General features: G+C 42.1%; 1 protein-coding gene across 3 annotated transcripts in view, besides 2 other annotated features; it reads left to right on the top strand.

Moving 5' to 3' along the window:
* MARCHF3 (membrane associated ring-CH-type finger 3) overlaps positions 1–18,542 on the top strand; it is a 162,845-nt gene that overhangs the window by 39,215 nt on the left and 105,088 nt on the right. The gene's annotated exons all lie outside the window — the stretch shown is intronic.
* Positions 2,928–3,107: an enhancer, noted in NCBI's record as "active region_23032". NCBI's record gives its function as "activates an Ori minimal core promoter by ATAC-STARR-seq in GM12878 lymphoblastoid cells {active_cell/tissue: GM12878}" and the evidence as "EXISTENCE:reporter gene assay evidence [ECO:0000049][PMID:35858748]".
* Positions 3,118–3,197: an enhancer, noted in NCBI's record as "active region_23031". NCBI's record gives its function as "activates an Ori minimal core promoter by ATAC-STARR-seq in GM12878 lymphoblastoid cells {active_cell/tissue: GM12878}" and the evidence as "EXISTENCE:reporter gene assay evidence [ECO:0000049][PMID:35858748]".

The raw sequence follows: 18,542 nt of genomic DNA, 5'->3' as shown, positions 1-18,542 counted from the left end.
TCAGTTCCCACCTAAGAGTGAGAACATGCGGTATTTGGTTTTCTGTCCTTGTGATAGTTTGCTGAGAATGATGGTTTCCAGCTTCATCCATGTCCCTGCAAAGGACATGAACTCATCTTTTGTTATGGCTGCATAGTATTCCATGGTGTATATGTGCCACATTTTCTTAATCCAGTCTATCATTGATGGACATTTGGGTTGGTTCCAAGTCTTTGCTATTGTGAATAGTGCCGCAATAAACATACATGTACATGTGTCTTTATAGTAGCATGATTTATAATCCTTTGGGTATATACCCGGTAATGGGATGGCTGGGTCGAATGCTATTTCTAGTTCTAGATCCTTGAGAAATCGCCACACTGTCTTCCACAGTGGTTGAACTAATCTACACTCCCACTAACAGTGTAAAAGTGTTCCTATTTCTCCACATCCTCTCCAGCATCTGTTGTTTTCTGCCTTTTTAATGATCACCATTCTAATTGGTGTGAGATGGTATCTCATTGTTGTTTTGATTTGCAGTTCTCTGATGACCAGTGATGATGAGCACTTTTTCATGTGTCTGTTGGCTGCATAGATGTCTTCTTTTGAAAAGTGTCTGTTCATATCCTTTGCCCACTTTTTGATGGGGTTGTTTGTTTTTTTCTTGTAAATTTGTCTAAGTTCTTTGTAGATTCTGGATATTAGCCCTTTGTCAGATGGATAGATTGCAAAAATTTTCTCCCATTCTCTAGGTTGCCTGTTCACTCTGATGGTAGTTTCTTTTGCCATGCAGAAGGTCTTTAGTTTAATTAGATCCAGTTTGCCTATTTTGGCTTTTGTTGCCATTGCTTTTGATGTTTTAGTCATGAAGTCCTTGCCCATGCCTATATCCTGAATGGTATTGCCTAGGTTTTCTTCTAGGGCTTTTATGGTTTTAGGTCTAACATTTTAGTCTTTAATCCATCTTGAATTATTTTTTGTACAAGGCATAAGGAGGGGATCCAGTTTCAGCTTTCTACATATGGCTAGCCAGTTTTCCCAGCACGATTTATTACATAGGGAATCCTTTCCCCATTTCTTGTTTTTGTCAGGTTTGTCAAAGATCAAATGGTTGTAGATGTGTGGTGTTATTTCTGAGGCCTCTGTTCTGTTCCATTGGTCTATATCTCTGTTTTGGTACCAGTACCATGCTGTTTTGGTTACTGTAGCCTTGTAGTATAGTTTGAAGTCAGGTAGTGTGATGCCTCCAGCTTTGTTCTTTTTGCTTAGGATTGTCTTGTTAAATGGGGGCTCTTTTTTGGTTCCATATGAACTTTAAAGTAGTTTTTTCTAATTCTGTGAAGAAAGTCTTTGGTAGCTTGATGGGGATGGCATTGAATTTATAAATTAATTTTTGTATTTTTAGTAGAGATGAGGTTTTGCCATATTGGCCAGGCTGGTCTCAAACTCCTGACTTCAGGTGATCTGCCCACCTTGGCCTCCCAAAGTGCTGGGATTACAGGCGTGAGCCACTGCACCCAGCCAGATTTCATTTTCAATAAAAGCAGCTTGATATTGCTGCAAGAGACACTGAAGATCAGAGTGTAATATAATAGGAAACTGTTCATAATTATAATTGATGTGCTGTAAGTATTGTGATTAATGTATACATGTTGATACTACTCCTTTCTTCTACATGTGTTACAATTTATGGTTCATCAGATCACAGTAGTGCTGAACACTCTACAAATCTCACTCCCCAGCTGAGGGAAGGTGTTAAGATGAATCTGTGCCCCTGCCTGTGGAGCTATTATCCATTTTTCCACTTAGATTTACATTGCACCAGCACTTAGACACGAACAAGATTCATGGCATCTGGGGAGGGGGAGGGGAAACTAAATTGTTGCTTAATTTTCTTCTTTAAAAAAACTTCCTTTGCTTTCTAACAAAGTGGTTAGTGTAGAAATTTCCAAATTGTCTTACTGCTTTAGCCTCTAAACCTACATTTGAAATGGTTCTCTTTAGTCCTAATATTATTATTATTATTAGTAGTAGTAGTAGTAGTAGTAGTAGTAGTACTAGTAGTAGTAGTAGTAGTAGTATTCTAGAGACAGGGTCTCTCTCTGTCACCCAGGCTGAAGTGCAGTGGTGCGATCATAGCCGACTGCAGGCTTAAACACCTAGGCTCAAGCAATCCTCCCACCTCAGCTTCCTGAGTAGCTGGGAGTACAGGTGTGCACGAGGATACTCTGCTAATTTTTTAATTTTTGTAGAGATGGGGTCTCACTATGTTGCTCAGGCTGGTCTCAAACTCCTGGCTTCAAGTGATCCTCCCACCTCAGCCTAGTCCTATTGTAGACATTTTTTCTTCAATGAAGTGTGTTGTTGATGCCAGTGGGAGTTAACTACATTTAAAAATCTCCTCTTTCATCCATGAGAGGATATTTTTGAAGAAACATCTTTTCTTTATTCCCTTTTAAAGTTTTTGTGAAAATAGTATATATATAGGTTAAGAAATAAAATAGCACAGAAATGCTTATAATGAAAAGCCATGGTTCCCTTCCAAGGACAACATGTCTCTGTGGTAATAGATGCTCACTGATGTAATAGTAGTTTACTTGCCTGATGTAATAGTAGTAATAATAATAATAAGCTTATACTCTTGCCTTTTTGCTATTTGTTCATAATCCTTCTCCCTTCCTCAACTGATAGTTATTATTTTAACTTTTCTAGTGATAATCTTTGTACCTTAAAATAATAGTTTTAAACCTCAATTTCTTGTCCCAATTTATGTAGTTAAATCTTGACTCTCCTGTCTGTTAGATCAAGATGTTAATAATCCCTGTGAAAACAGAGCATGAGTTCTCTTTTAAACTTCTCTTATGTGGTCTGAATTGTCTGTGTCTTCAGGAGTCAGGGGCCATGTTTAATTACTTGGCTTTTCTCTTTGGTGTTTCTGTTTTGTTTTTAGATATGAGTGGTGAACTTTGGTTATCCATCTGTATTTAAGAGCAAGGGGCTGAGTTTTATTTTTCTTCACAGATGGTGTGGGTTTCCCCTGCTCTTATATATGTAGATCCGGTTTCCTGTTATTGCTGCCTATGAATAGGAAATCTGCATGGAACCTTGATGTTGGGTGGGGGGCTTGTCTCCTGGAAGTTTCACTTTCAGATCAAGACTGAGAATGGGCTGGATTTTAGTCAGGAGTTTATGTGTGTGTGGTAAGGGGATTCAAAGGATTTAAATACCTGGGGATTTGACGGGGGCGGGGTGTGCTTTACTCTAGAGTGTTTGCATATAATCTGGCCCTCCTAGTTCTTTCTAGACAGTTTTTTTTAACTTTTTATTTTGAACTAATTTTAGACGTAGAGACAAGTTACTAAAATAATACAGAGTTTCTGTATGTCCCTCATGCGGCTTCCCGTAATGTTAATGTTATCTACTATATCCAGGCAGTTTTTCAATTTCTTTATAGATCAAGAGTCCTCTGATATTTGGCCCCCAAGTAAAATCATGGGTTTCTAGTGCAGTGCATGGACCTAAGGCAGGGAGTAGGGGAGGAGAGTGAGGGGTACCCACAGTGTCCCTTAGGCAGACTTCAGTTCACTTCTCTCTTCTCCACCCGGACTTGAAATCCCAGTCTCTGTTGCAGCTTCCCAGTGGGCCTGGGGTTTTGTTGGCATGTTGCTGGACAGCTCACTCCCACCCTCTGACTTTCCTGAAGTTTTCTCCAATATATTCTAGACTCTTTCATTCTTGCTTTGTATCAGGTAGGGTTCTCCATAGTGGGGGTTGGGGGATGGGGAAGTGGCAGAGGGGTGAAAGAAAGACAGAGAAATATTTGTTTTAAGGAATTGGCTCACGCAGTCGTGGGGGCTGGGAAGTCCAAAACCCATGGGGCAGGCAGACATGCCAGAAATTCAGTTAAGAGTTGATGTTGCAGTCTTGAGTCCCAAATTCATAGCACAGGCCAGCAGACTGGAAACTCAGGCAGGAATTCTATGTTACAGTCTTTTTTATTTTCTTTCTTTTTTTCTGTGGTAAGAACAAAACTTGAGATTTACCCTCGTATCAAATGTTTAAGTACACCCTGTATTATTCTTGATAATGTCAAGACAAGAATGACAGTGGATTTCTAGGGCATATTCATCTTGTTTGACTGAAACTTTATACCCACTAATGAATAACTCCTCATTTTCTATGTTACAATCTTGAGGCAGAATTCCTTCTTCTCCAAGAAAGCTCAGTTTTTGCCCTTATGGCCTTCAGCTGATTAGATGAGGCCTACCCATATGATGGAGGGTAATCTGATTGACTTAAATTCAGATGATTGTAACTGTTCATCACATCCACAAATACCCTCACAGCAACATATAGACTAGTGTTTGACCAAACAACTGGCCACCATAGCCTAGCCAAGTTGACACATAAAACTGTCATACATTCTATTCTATTTGCCATCTTCTTCCTGGCCTCCAGAAATTTGTTGAAATTTTCTTTTCATGATGTTCATCTCCCAATTGCATCACTCTCATGTCTTTTTCCTTTTAGTATTATTCTCTTAGAGTCCAGAGAATCAAAGTTTATTTGTTAAAGAGAACCCAGTTTTTCATACAGGTGCCTCTCCCAAACACTGGCATGTCAACGAAGGTCAGCAGTCTTCTTAAGGTTAAAAAAGAGAAAAGGCATATGATTTAGCTCAAATTTATTTGCCTTACATATTACTCTAGACAGTTTCATCAGTGTTCATTTTTGGGTATCTATCTCATTGTACTTATTTAGAGTTTTTTATATATTCATGTTATTTACTCTGACCTATTTAAATGAAACTGTTTTCCTATTTATTTGGAAGTAAGTTCATCCAATGTGAAATATTTTTTAAAATCTTCATACTGTGAGTTTAATTTTAAAATAATAAACTACGATTTTTAAAGGGTTTATTCACATTACCTTGAGCAATACTTTGTCTAAATTAGATGCTCAAAAAATTGCTTACATTTTCAAAAAATTATTTAGCTTTGTATAATAAAGGCATAAGTTAATATGATACTTAGAGATTTTGAATGCTTTAATTGTGGGTATTTAACTCCCTGCCCACTTTTGATGCTACTTATAAGGTAGGGAGGTGGCAGGCATTTTTAGTTTCTTGGGTAGCACACTTGGGCCCTGTCTGAAATGTTTAATAATTTGCCTGAGGTCATTTTCCTTACGGTTTCAAGACTGCTACAAACTCCAGGTCTTTTGACTCCTACTTCTGCGCTCTTTATTTTGCATATGTTACACTATGCTGTACATATCCTTGGGGAATATTTGACAATGAACATATTTCCATAAATCCCAGTACTGTTAGATATGCTTGCAATGGATTCACATGCAGAGCATGTTCTGCTAATGATTTAAACTCTTTTGTAAGAAGGTGAGTTTCCTTGGATGATCAACCACCCCACTGTGTTCCTTGTATGTTCTATATCCAGGGACCAAATAGAGTCATGCATGAAAAATACTCTCAAGGTCAGGTTCTCTCCCTGCAAACGTGTATTTAAGAATCAAAAACAACTGTGTGTTTTCAGAACCCAAGTATCCCCACCACCTCTAAAAATTCATCCAGGTAGGCCGGGCGCAGTGGCTCACGCCTGTAATCCCAGCACTTTGGGAGGCCGATGCAGGTGGATCACGAGGTCAGGAGATCGAGACCATCCTGGCCAACATGGTGAAACCCTGTCTCTACTAAAAAATAAAAAATAAAAAAATTAGCCAGGCGTGGTGGCGGGCGCCTGTAGTCCCAGCTATTCGGGAGGTGAGGCAGGGGAATTGCTTGAACCCAAGAGGGGGAGGTTGCAGTGAGCCAAGATCGTGCCACTGCACTCCAGCCTGGGCGACAGAGTGAGACTCCGTCTCAAAAAAAAAAAAAAAATAAAAGTTCATCCAGATTAAAAAAAGTATTTTTTTATCTAGTATTTACACAAACACATCAAATTAAACCCATCATATGATTCACTAAGAGCACACAGAACTGTAACCCTGTCCCTCCCATTCTTCCCAAAATGCATCTTTTCAAAAGTCAGATTGTGGTTTAATTAAATGACCAGATGAAAAGTAATAATGCCTCTGTTTTAGAAAAAGAAAAAGAGCAGCATTTCAATGTAAATCCTGGCTCACTGTCACAAATAAATATTTTTTCCTTTTTTTGTAGGCATACCATATGCCTTAATTTAGTATGAAATGCATGTTACAAAAGCCAAGAGTAGTCCCCCCAAAGGAAATCCCCATCCTCCAGGTCCATTCACCATTGTTCTGAATTAAATTTCTCCCACCACCACCTGGGGGAGAGTAGGGAGAGTTTCCTCACCACTCACACCCACCTTTGACTTCTCAATTTTTCGTTATTCCTCTTTTTTCCAGGGCTGCCTCTGAGGCCTCCCACCCAGCCTCCCAGCTCCCACCTTTCCACTAGAGTCATGCACTCACTGACAGCTTAAGTGCCTAACTAATCTTTGCTGCAAATTATGTATTATTCAGACCAGTTTCAGGCCAGACCTCATATTATTCCACTTAGTTTTCCAGAGGTTTAAAGGATTAAATAATCCTCCAAGTATTTCCTGTTATCACTCCTCTTTCTTCAGTGCATAGGAGTATCCTCTGGACCTGGGGTTCATAATCTCCAGTCTGTGGCTTGGCTTTCAGGGACCTGTGAATCCCCAGAAGTGAAAAGCAGAATTATGTGAGCATCAGTGCATTTTCTTGGCGGGGTGACTCTATAGTTTTTCTTGTATCCTAGAAGAGACCCATGACCCAAGAATGTTTAAAGAGAGTGGCTGGCTCTCAGGGGCCCGCCCTGGAAGCCCAGCTCTCGCCACCTCCTTCTGTTTTAACTTGAGGCCTAGGTTGGATTCTGTGCTGATCCTGTTTCCTACTGGTTCCCCTATGGACCTCAACCTGTGGGACGTGACCTCCTGTACTTTTTCTCCAGTATACTACCCCCTTGGCTGGACCTAACCTGCTTGGCTTTCCTTACTCCCTTCCACATCCCCCTGTCCTGCTGTAGAAGGGGTGCCTGTCCTGCTTATTTCCTAAGTACCTTTATGCTGGTTTGGTTTATTCTAGAGTTTCTCTGAATATAGAGTATCTCCAGAAGTTTTCCTCAACCCCCTTCCTCCTCATCAGTCCACGTGGCCTGTCCTAGAACCACTGTCCTCTTAAAGGATGGCACATTGCCTTCTCAGGGAATGGCATGGCTCAAAAGACAGTAGCACCCCCATGCCCTTGGAAATCCAGGCATTGTCTTTTCCCACAACCCCCTAAAATTGCGAGATCCCACATTAGCATTGCATAATATCCCCCCACCCCAGTCCTATCCAGTTAGCTGTAGATCACAAGCAGGTTTTAATCTTTTGCTACAACCTGGCTTAATAACTTCTCTCTCTTAGTTGTATGATAGTGGCTTCTGTATTTTCCAGTTAATTTCTCAATGTTGGAGTTGGGAAAAAATAGCCAACACTAAACATGAAAAAGATGAAGGAAGCTGGAGATAAGAAAAAGATAGAGGAACACAGACTTCCCATGTTCTCCTTTGGTTGCCTCTTTGCTTTGGTATAGGCCTCTTCTGAGAGAACCCTTTGCATCCTGCGCTCCTTCTGATTTGCCTCCCGTTAAGTGTCAGGGATGAGGGAAGGGACAAGTTGGAAAGCGAGGGACCTGGCTCCTCAGCCGTCTGAGCCCCAGTGGACTGACCTCAGCATCATAAATCATAAATTGGTAGCAAGGTTGGATTTGAGGCCCCGAGTAAATTGCTGTTCTAGTCCAAAGTTAGCTCTTCATGAGGTCTGCATTCTGAGCCTGCTGACAGTTCCGAGAGCCTTTGCTGATATCCAAAAGAGAGAATTTGAGTCCTGCCATATTTAGATCCCTGCCCTAAGTCAAAGTTCTGAGCTGCTCTGTCCCTGTTTCTGATACATGATCTTGTGCTGAGGAAGTGACCAGTCTGTGGCCTCAAAGACTCAGGAAAGCCTGGTCATGGGCAGAGGGCTAGTTCCTGTCCCCTGATAGGGACGGAGGCACCAAGGCCCACCAGATCGCCTGCCCACCCCTTCCCTGCCCTCCTGGAGCCGATTTTTAAGAAGGATCATCTGTCCCTTCATTTACTGAAAAACAGGCAGCATTCTTGTGAAGCCAAAGCCAACTCCCTTCTGGGACCTGTGGGGACTGCTGGAGCAGTGTCCGGTGGCATCCAGCGATGTGATTCCTCTGCATGGTTAAGCCAGCTCTTCTCTTGCAGAGGGAAGATAGAAGCACAACAGAGGAGTGCACAGCTGACCCCATACTCCCTACTCCCTCCATGCGCCACTGCTTCTCCTATCTTTTAAGAAATGAAAACAACATAAAATGCTGGGGCCCAGCTGTGCACCTATGTCAGGATTAGCTGTAAGGTCCCCAGTATGCTCAGTCAGCTCAGCTATTTTGCCTTTTATCAAAGGAGTCACCCTAACCTGGACCTTGTGGGAGACAACCACATTAGTGGTATAACAAAAACAATTCAGAACAAGGCATATATACCCCAATTCAACTCCCATCTCTGAGCTTTGTACTCTACTTTGTACTTCACATTTGATCTAATTAGTGCTCAGAGTATTTCTGTGAAGGTGCATTTATCCCATTTTACAAATGTGAAAATCTAGAGTAGAGAGTTGATGTGCCCCAGATGTTACAGCTAGCCATTAGTAGACCAAGGTTCAAACCCAGGTCTTCTGATGTGAAAGCCCTTGCTTGTCCTACTACCCCTTGCTACTGTGGCCATCTAGTAGATCCTAGGACTGTGCATTAGGTCATCTGGGACTCTGAAAATAATTAAGTCAGACTCTCTGCAGATGGGGCCCAGACTGCCTTGGGAAGAGCTGCAAAGCAGGTCAGCTTCCCCTCCAGTAGTGTTGGGACAGCCTCCCTCACTGTCAGTCATCCCGGGGCCCACTGTGGGTCTAAGCAGAATCACCAGCTCCCTTGCTGTTCCTTCCCCATCCCTGCCATCAAGACAGAGCCATTTGCTGCTGTCCATCCATGTTATGGCTCAAGGGTTCAGACATGGTATAGGGAAGATGGGAGCAGGGAAAGACATGAACTGCTGTGCTGTGTGACAAGGCCAGGGGTGTCACTGAGGATGCAACAGGAAGCAGGCAGGCAGGTGAGAGAAGCTGGGGAGGCGGGAGATAGAGAGTTATTCTAGCACAGCAGTGAATGAATTCAGTTTGAATGAAGCACAGAAGTAAATGTTTGGACAGCGGAACCAGGTTTCATGATCTTTGAGTTGTCCTCATAACATGTTGGAACTAGGTATTGAAAAGTCTGAGGTAATCTGAAGCTTAGAAAGGCACAATCTATCAAGTTAACTTAAAGGAAAGGAAGGTGTTAACAAAATTAGAAAGTGCTGTTTTAGAAACAGCCCTAGATATTTTCCAAAAAAGCCTTGGGAATATTCCAGTATAGGAATTCTAAATACCATAGTAGTCAAGTAATGTGTTCTTCTGGTAAAATTAAAAAGAGCATGCCTGGCAGCATATGAAGAACTAAATTTCACCCTGAACATAATATTTGATATTATCCTACTTCGGTACTCTGTTACTGTTGGCTTAGGTATTTGATGTAATATTTTCCTTTGTTGTTTAAGAAAAAAGGTTGGACAATTCTCAATTTGCTGGTATAGTGAGAGGGAAATTTTGTGCATGCACAAGCATAAATCTCTCTTCAAACTAAACATGTATGTAACACCTTCACTTTGAAGAGAACACTGTGTTTAGTATTTCCCAAAGCCTTGCAAAGTACATTAATATCCTACAACCATTTCTCTAATGTATTTAAAGAAAGTAAGACTCAAGGAAGTTATCTCCAAACACACTTACATCTGGAGTAGGAACAAATTCTTAAAGGTCTCAGAAGACTCGTCTTACTAAGTTAGGCTTTTCATGGCTTCCTCCATCAAAGCCTCTGAGGTTGTGTGGTCCAAAAAGCAGGCCAAGAGCCCAAGATGCTCATGGATTGGATTAGTTGATCCCTGAATGGATGAAAGTTTACTCGATGTTTTGCACAGCCTTGCTTGAGTAAAAGGGGAGGTAGAGTCCCCCTACTAGGAGAGGTTCCATTATTCTGAGAAGCTTTTCTTCCTCACTGGACAGTGACTATCCAGAGATGCCTAGGAAGCAGTCATTCATTGTTTATTGCTGGAGGCCAACTTGCTGCCCATCAGAAGTATATGTAATGTAAGAGGGAAAAGGCAGGCTGTAGATTTTTCTGCAAGTTCAACAGAGTGCTGCACACTAACAATCAGTTTGAAGAAAGCTGAAGTCGTGTGTCAGTGCTCACCAGGCTGATTCTTTGTGCAGCACAAAGATTGAATGGTGGCTTAAGGAAGGTATACACATACAACTGCTCTTGACTTTCAGTCTGGGGCCATGGATGGAATATTGGAAATCCACAGATAGTCTAAAAACAATTTTAACATCTCTGTCCACCACTTCCCTCACTAAACCTTGTTATAGAGATGCTAACAAACAAAAACTTAAAATACTAATCTTACCTCTCCTTCATGCCTATAGTATGCCACACTGGGCAGAAGATGGTTCTGGATGTTCCCCAGATGAAACTAAGTTTGCAAACTGGTGGCCCACAGGCCCACCTAACCATAGATGTGTTTTATTTGGCCTGTGCTGGGGTTTTAAAAAATATTTGAGGCCAGGCGTGGTGGCTCACACCTGTAATCCCAGCACTTTGGGAGGCTGGGGCGGGCAGATCATGAGGTCAGGAGATTGAGACGATCCTGGCCAATATGGTGAAACCCTGTCTCTACTAAAATACAAAAAATTAGCCGAGCCTGGTGGTGCGCACCTGTAGTCCCAGCTATTCAGGAGGCTGAGGCAGGGGAATCACTTGAACCCGGGAGGCAGAGATTGCAGTGAGCCAAGATTGCGCCACTGCACTCCAGCCTGGCAACAGAGTGAGACTCCATCTCAAAAAAAAAAAAAAGGAATGAATCATCAACATCTCAAACTCAAGAGATTCTACATAAAATCTGTGTTTCTGGCTTCTCTTAAAATTCTAAAGATCTAGTCACCCTGGGCCAAGGAGTGGCTATTCCCTTCATAATGGATTAGGGCTCCCACATGGCTGCCCCAGTTCACATTCACACCCAGCCCACTTGTCACTTCCAGGATCTACTAGTCTCTGCAGGCATTTGAGTTTGGCATCCCCAACAGAGAAGGTGCGCAGAAGAGGAAAGATTTTGCTTTCCTTATAGATGTTCGTGGTGACATCTCTGTGTCAGTAAGAAGTTTGATCCACTAATGAGCAAGATTGTTATACACAAGAGTTCTGGAATCAGAGACAGGTGAAATAGGCTCAATTAGTATACAGGATTTCACTTTCATTTCTTTTTTTTTTTTTTTTTTTTTTTGAGATGGAGTTTGGCTCTTGTTGCCCAGGCTGGAGTGCAATGGTGCAATCTCGGCTCACCTCAACCTCCACCTCCCGGGTTCAAGCGGTTCTCCTGCCTCAGCCTCCCGAGTAGCTGGGATTACAGGCATGCACCACCAAACCTGACTAATTTTGTATTTTTAGTAGAGACAGGGTTTCTCCATGTTGGTCAGGCTGGTCTCAAACTCCTGATCTCAGGTGATCTGCCCGCCTCAGCCTCTCAGAGTGCTGGGATTACAGGCGTGAGCCACTGCGCCTGGCCTCACTTTCATTTCTAATAAGGAATAAAGACCATTTCAAAATTAGAAAACTCTAAGGAAAAACACACTTAAATGGAGGACAGGTAACCTGAGTTCCTGATGCAGCTGCCCTGCCCCCATGCTGATACCTAGTGTCTTTACCTACATAATGGAAAGTGTTAACCATCATTCAGCATTCATTCCCTTAACAAGATTTATATAGAGTGGTTGACATCGAGGGTTTACAGTCTTCCCAAAATGGATCTGCATTTAAGACTTCGTTTTCCTCACCTATCAAATAAGGAATGAAATCACAAACACCTCAGTGTGTGACATACTCTGAATACCCAGTTATTGTGAGCTCTTATTATTTGTTAAGTACCAGATGTTTGCCAAGCTTTGTGCTAGACCTTAGAAATACAAAAACACAGAAACATGTGGTCCATGTCCTAAAGAGCCGCAGTCTGGTTGAGGAAGTAAATTCTGGGCTAACAAGTAGAGTCAGCAACCTAAACAAAAGCCCCTCAGAATGACTGTACTGTTGAAACATAAATAGGACTGATAAAGCCCCAGGTTATTACAACATCATATTAAATTAAGGAAAGTCCGTGTGCAACACCTACCTTGAGAAATAAACATGTATATACATATCTAAATATGATAGAGGTAACAAAAGTTTTCAATAATAGGATTTTTCTTAGGGGAGTTCCACATCAGACTTCTAAATCCAAGGTTCTTGACATCTGGAGTGGAGTCTTCCCATTGATAGTTCAGCCAGAGCCCTTGCTCCAGAAAATGTATGTACACAATAGTTTGCATAACATTCCAGGGATCTGAGAGCCCCAGAAGCCCATCCATGAGGCCTGCTCCATGTAGTTCCTCACTGGGCTGGTCACACAGTACATAAAAGCAGTGGCTCCAAAAGAGGTGCTCAGTTACAGAAGAGAGAGAGCCGCTCATAGAAACAGTCAGGGCAGTTCTGTGTGAGAGCAAAAAGCCGAGTTGCATAGAGGTCCAGTGGGCAGTGAGGGGAATGTTGAATGAAGAAAACGTCTTTTTTCTTTTCTTAGATAATGCTGATATGCCTGTAACAACTAATGTAGTCAGAACGAGTACTTCATATATCTGTCACATGTTTAATTGTGGACACTCTGACATCTTATCTTCTCTCCTGTGATCCTTTCACCTTTTTCATAAATCTCTGTTATCTAGGTATGAAAAGAAACCTTAGTATCTACTAAGCCAAAACATCCTTTCACATAGGGTTGATCTGGCTTTTTGTTCTTTTTCCCCCACTCTTTCCCTATTCTTCAACATTCCATTCCCAATATGTCCAGAACTAATTCTGCATGGGACCTAATTATCGGTTGGTGACCCGAATGGGGCTGGTCACTCTGGGCAGTCTCTCTCTCCTTGGCCCTTTCTGGCCTTTAGGTCACATGTAGTACTTTATCAGTTCCCTCCAAAATAAATCCAGCTGCAAAAGTATTGGAAAATAAGGTAGGTTTTACTGAGGGTTTTGGGGGTAGAGTGAAAAGAAAACTCACCACGTGAAGACAAAACATCACAAGATTCCCAACATACAATACTCAACTGCCAAAGCCTTTCTCTTGGGGGCCAGCCCCTCATCTTTCCTCGGCTCTACCTGCCTTCCCCACACTCTTGCTCTGTACTTGTGCTAATTCAGAGAATATAGCTCCCTCAGCTTCTCCAATTTTGCTTTCTCATATCTGTTAGTTACTTAATACTGCCTTGAATTATGAGAAAGCCTCTATGCTAAGGATGACAATTTTTGTTTGTACCCCTAATCACAAATGTCTTTGTGTTTTACTTAATACATTGAAGGCATCCTTGATGTTAGGACATGTATATTAATCTTGCATTTCGGAATGGCCGAATAGTGTTGCCTTGTATACATGCAACATGCTGTGTTTAGCCATTCCTGTACACTTACCTTATTTCTTTTTCTTTTTTCTATTATAAACAAGCTGCAATCAAACATATATTGCACACTTATATGAGTATGACTGTAGGATAAATTTCTGGAATTGATATTTCTGTGTCATGAATATATGCATTGTAATATTTAGTAGTTATTGCTCTCTAGAAATTTATCTTCCAAGCAACGGTGTGAAAGAGATCTGTTTCAGTTTTCCATAAAACCCCATTTTTATGTTTGTTTACCTTATTTTATGTTTGCCGATTCCTTGATTTAGGAAGGGCTTAAGGTGGCTGGCAAGGAAATATACATTAGAGGTAGATGGGTTGGGGGTAGAAGTGAAAAATGAAAGGTAAGAATATAAAATGGACCAGTGATTAAGATTATTATAAAAATTCATTCAGGTTTATTCTATGCCCTAGGTGACCTTCAGGTTTGGTGCTAAGCTTTCCAGCAGCCAAGGCAAAGAGGGGAGTCAATTATATAAGCCACTACTAAAACAAAGCTGTGCCTTGGGGTCCTTATAAAAATGAAAAAGGACTTTGTACAGGGCAACAGTAACTTCAGCAGCATGACTTCATGTGATCCCCTCAGCACCTCTGTATCTGCTATTTACCTCGGACCCAAAACATGTTGCCCTAGAGCAGAGCTCTGCCTTCAGTCATGTACGTGCTGATTATGTTGGGTGGACAGCAGTCTGGCCAAAACTGATAAAACCTGTGCCTCCAAATGTGGCCTGATAGCAGGGCATTAAGAGCAGGCATCACCTCTCATATACATAGACCTTCCTTTCTCTTCAAAGCTCCTAGGAATTGTCTTGGAGGATGGGACCAAGAAGCAAACCCAGGATCGGTGGATGTAAACCAGATCAGGAAAGCATCACTGTGGGGGCATTTCCAGGCAGGATGTGTGGGCTGCCTGCCACGTGAGCAGGTGGAGGGCCCAATGGGGCTCTCCCTGCTGCCAGGATCGGGGCGAGGATTCCCAGAGGGAGAGAGAGCCAGGTGCCATGTGTGCAACTGCAGATGCCAGAGTGGGCTCCTGAAGGAAATTGTGTCATTTCAGCTCCTGACCTCAGAAACAGGAGATAGGAGAAAGCCATGGTGACCTCAGCTGGGTGGGGAGACAACTAATCAGCCACCCCAGGTCTGAGGTGGCCCCAAGGCAGGTCAAGGATGTGAAGAGGTCTAGATAGATAGAAAGGAAATACAGAGGCTCAGCTTTTGGAAACCACACAGGGGCTGAGTGCCCCAGTAGAGGGTCAGATAGTTCTGCAAGGAAGCCAGGGTAGCCCAAAGCAGAGGCAATGAACCTGGAGACCAAGTAGCAGAGGAGCTGAAAGAGAGTTTGACTTGTACCTAGATTTGAAACCAGAGTAAGCTAACAAGAAGACAGAATGATTCCTAGGTTCAGGGCTGGCAAAATGCAAAGTGAAATTGATCGAGTCATGTAAGATTTTGTGTCCAAACTCCACTGGGCTGTGGATAATTTTACCCTCAAGGTCCTCCACACTGTAGTATGGACACCCAGGTGTGTCCCATAGAGGACATAACAAAAATGTATCTTAACTGGGAAAAAAAGATTAACAAAAAGAATGAAGATGTGCCTCAGCTGCATGAATATAGAAGGAGAAAGATCCCTCTATGTCATTCCCTGGGTGATAGCAGGAGAACATTATCCTAAGTAGGAAAAAAAGACAGTGGAAACCTGGTTGAAGGAGCTTTTTTGCACATCACCCTGGGGAGCCACAAAAGAGAGACAGGAACAAAAGAACAGCTGCAAAGGGAGTGAAAGAAACCCAAAGAGGCATTGGCACAGGCCTACTGGGAATATGATATGGCAAAGAGAGAAAATGAGGTCTGTTTTCTAGTTAGAGAAGATTGATCTATTCAAAGGACTTTAAATTTTGTTGATTCACTTTGGGTGCATCCATGTGAAGGTTTGAGTTTTGAATCATCATGATTTTTAGCCAGTAAAAGTGTTCTGGGTTTTAGCTTCACCCACATGGACCTCAACTCGCTATTTAGAAGTCTACTGCCCTTCAGGTGGGTTGCCAACAGACTCTGCCTTTGCTGTACCTGGGAGAATGGCTTCCTCATCACCACATTCTGCATCCTTCCAAGATGGCAGTGAAGATCTTCCCAGGGCATCTGGCATTAGCAGAATGCGGCTGATGAGGAAATATGACCCCAGTTTAGGCCGTTTTACCAGAATATTACACAAATTACAAAATAACTTGATAGCTAGAAGAGAGGATTTTGAATGTTTTTACTACAAAGAAATGATTAATGTTTGAGGTGGTGGATTTGTTAATTACCCTGATTTGATCCTTGTACAATGTATATCAAACATCTCATTGTACACCAGAAATATGTATAATTTTGTGTCAATTAAAAAGAGAAGAAAACTTAATAAAAAAATTTTTTTCAACTATATATGTGAACACATGAAAATGTAATAGTAAAATTTCATTGTTACAATATTATATCCCACTTCAGCCAGGCCCAGTGGCTCACACCTGTAATCCCAGCACTTTGGGAGGCCAAGGCAGGCAGATCACAAGGTCAAGAGATTGAGACCATCCTGGCCAACATGGTGAAACCCTGTCTCTACTAAAAATACAAAAATTAGCTGGGTGTGGTGGCATGCGCCTATAGTCCCAGCTACTCGGGAGGCTGAGGCAGGAGAATCACTTGAACCTGGGAGGCGGAGGTTGCAGTGAGCTGAGATTGCACCACTGCACTCCAGTGTGGTGACAGAGCGAGACTCCATCTCAATAAATAAATAAATTTTGAAAAAAAGAATGTTATATCCCACTTTAAATATAGATTTCAGAATGAATGGTAGCCAGATTACTTCAGCTGTCACATGTAACTTACATAGCTTCTCATTAAGACTTTTAAGTCACAGATAAAATTAATTTATTGGAATAAAGTAATGCTCAAAGCATGACTGAACATGTAAAAACTTAATAAGAAGCAGAGTTTAGGTTACAGAAAGAGATGTACTTTCTTATTGTCTGAGTAAACACAGTCTCCGTAACTTGTGTGTGGTGATCTGAAATCTTGGTCAAGATTCCCTGAAATCCACTTTTAAATGAGTTCATCTGACAAACAGTGCTAGAAAGGCCCTACCTTTGATCAACGCAATGATTTTGATTTCAGAACCTCCAACTGAGGTTCCTAATCATTCCTTTGGTAACAGAGAGTTTTGAACAAAATACAAGGGCAAGAGTATCAGGAAAGGTTACTTTTTTTTCCCTCTGCCTCTGATTACCCAGAGAGCAACAGTGAAAAATATGGAGGAGAAGAGCAGAGGGCTCTTTTGGTCCAATAACAGAATTCAGAAGTAGGACACACTGGGGAGGCTTCTGCCTCCTGCAGTGGTTTTCTCCAGGATTTTTTACCCTCACTTAGGTGTAGCCTTGACAGGAAAGGATGGGGGCCAGGAGCCTGGACCATCATTCCCAGCAATCTGACCTGCTTGAGGGAGGGAAGGGTCCCCATCCATCTTTTCTTCATTCTGGGCACCTCACTTTAAAAAATAGATTTTGCGGCCGGGCGCGGTGGCTCACGCCTGTAATCCCAGCACTTTGGGAGGCTGAGGCGGGTGGATCATGAGGTCAGGAGATCGAGACCATCTGGCTAACAAGGTGAAACCCCGTCTCTACTAAAAAATACAAAAAATTAGCCGGGCGCGGTGGCGGGCGCCTGTAGTCCCAGCTACTCGGGAGGCTGAGGCAGGAGAATGGCGTGAACCCGGGAAGTGGAGCTTGCAGTGAGCCGAGATTGTGCCACTGCAGTCCGCAGTCCGGCCTGGGCGACAGAGCGAGACTCCGTCTCAAAAAAAAAAAAAAAAAAAAAAAAAAAAATAGATTTTGCTTAATATTCTGGATAGAAAGTATTCCTCTTACAGATCCTTCAGTCTCCAACTTATATTTATGCCTGAAAATAATGTTCTTTATGGCCATCACCTTAGGCAATTTGGATGGTGATGAACTACAAAAACGTATATATGTTCTTACTAATACGGATAACTTACTGCTTTATCATTGCACAGAGGCAGTAATCCACATCTCTTTCCTAGCACTACTGAAGTAGGTAGAGTCATTACAATGCATTTTAGTCAAAAGGAATGTGAGAGTTGAGGATCATTGCCCCCAAATTCTCTCTGCCACCCTCTGCACTTCTGCAATTGTCTGCTTTAGCATCTAGCTAGGTGAGCTCAGATGTGGTCTGAATTAAGAGCAGTGTGACCTCAGAGCTGCCAGGTTTGCAGGCGCCTCCCCTACAGGTGGAAGCTATACTTCTGGATTGCTCCACCTGGCAGGAACCCCAGAGAGGTGGAATTCCATGCGTTGTGCTCGGACCTCCACAAACTGCAGGCTGATACAGAATGTGTTTACTGGGTTAGTGCAACCTAGCATGCAAACGTGGACACAGGATAGTCACAACTCCCACAGCAGCCTAAAGGAACTATGCAGGTCAGGTTGTGAAATGGCACCCAGAGTTATTTAGAAGGGCGTTTGGAATTCATAACGAGGTTGGTTTTGTTTTAAACCCTACTGTTGTCCTGGTAGGAAACAATGAGTGTTGATTACATTTTATTCTACTTAACATCAGTGCTTCTCAAGGGAGATATTGGTGACATGGAATTAGGTCTTATATTCAGGCATATAGCAAAAATAAATAAAGAACCTGGGGAGAAGATATTAAAATTTTAAGTAAAAGTGGAAATGAGACTACGAACAAAGGCAAAGAGAAAGAATATTTTAAACTGATATATCATGTGATATAGAGACATTAGCATACACTTTTGTTGGGTACGGGGAGAAATGTGGTATATAAATTATGCCAAAATCAAATTTTTCTCCATTGCTGGAGTGTATTTGGGATGGGTTTCAAAACTCTCTCAAATATACAGGGTTTTTTTGGTGTTTTTTTTACATC

The sequence above is a fragment of the Homo sapiens genome, chromosome 5 (assembly GCF_000001405.40).
Source record: "Homo sapiens chromosome 5, GRCh38.p14 Primary Assembly".
In the NCBI taxonomy this organism is placed as follows: domain Eukaryota; kingdom Metazoa; phylum Chordata; class Mammalia; order Primates; family Hominidae; genus Homo; species Homo sapiens.
The sequence above is the reverse complement of the archived record's forward strand: the minus strand, read 5'-3'. Positions and strand labels throughout refer to the sequence as shown.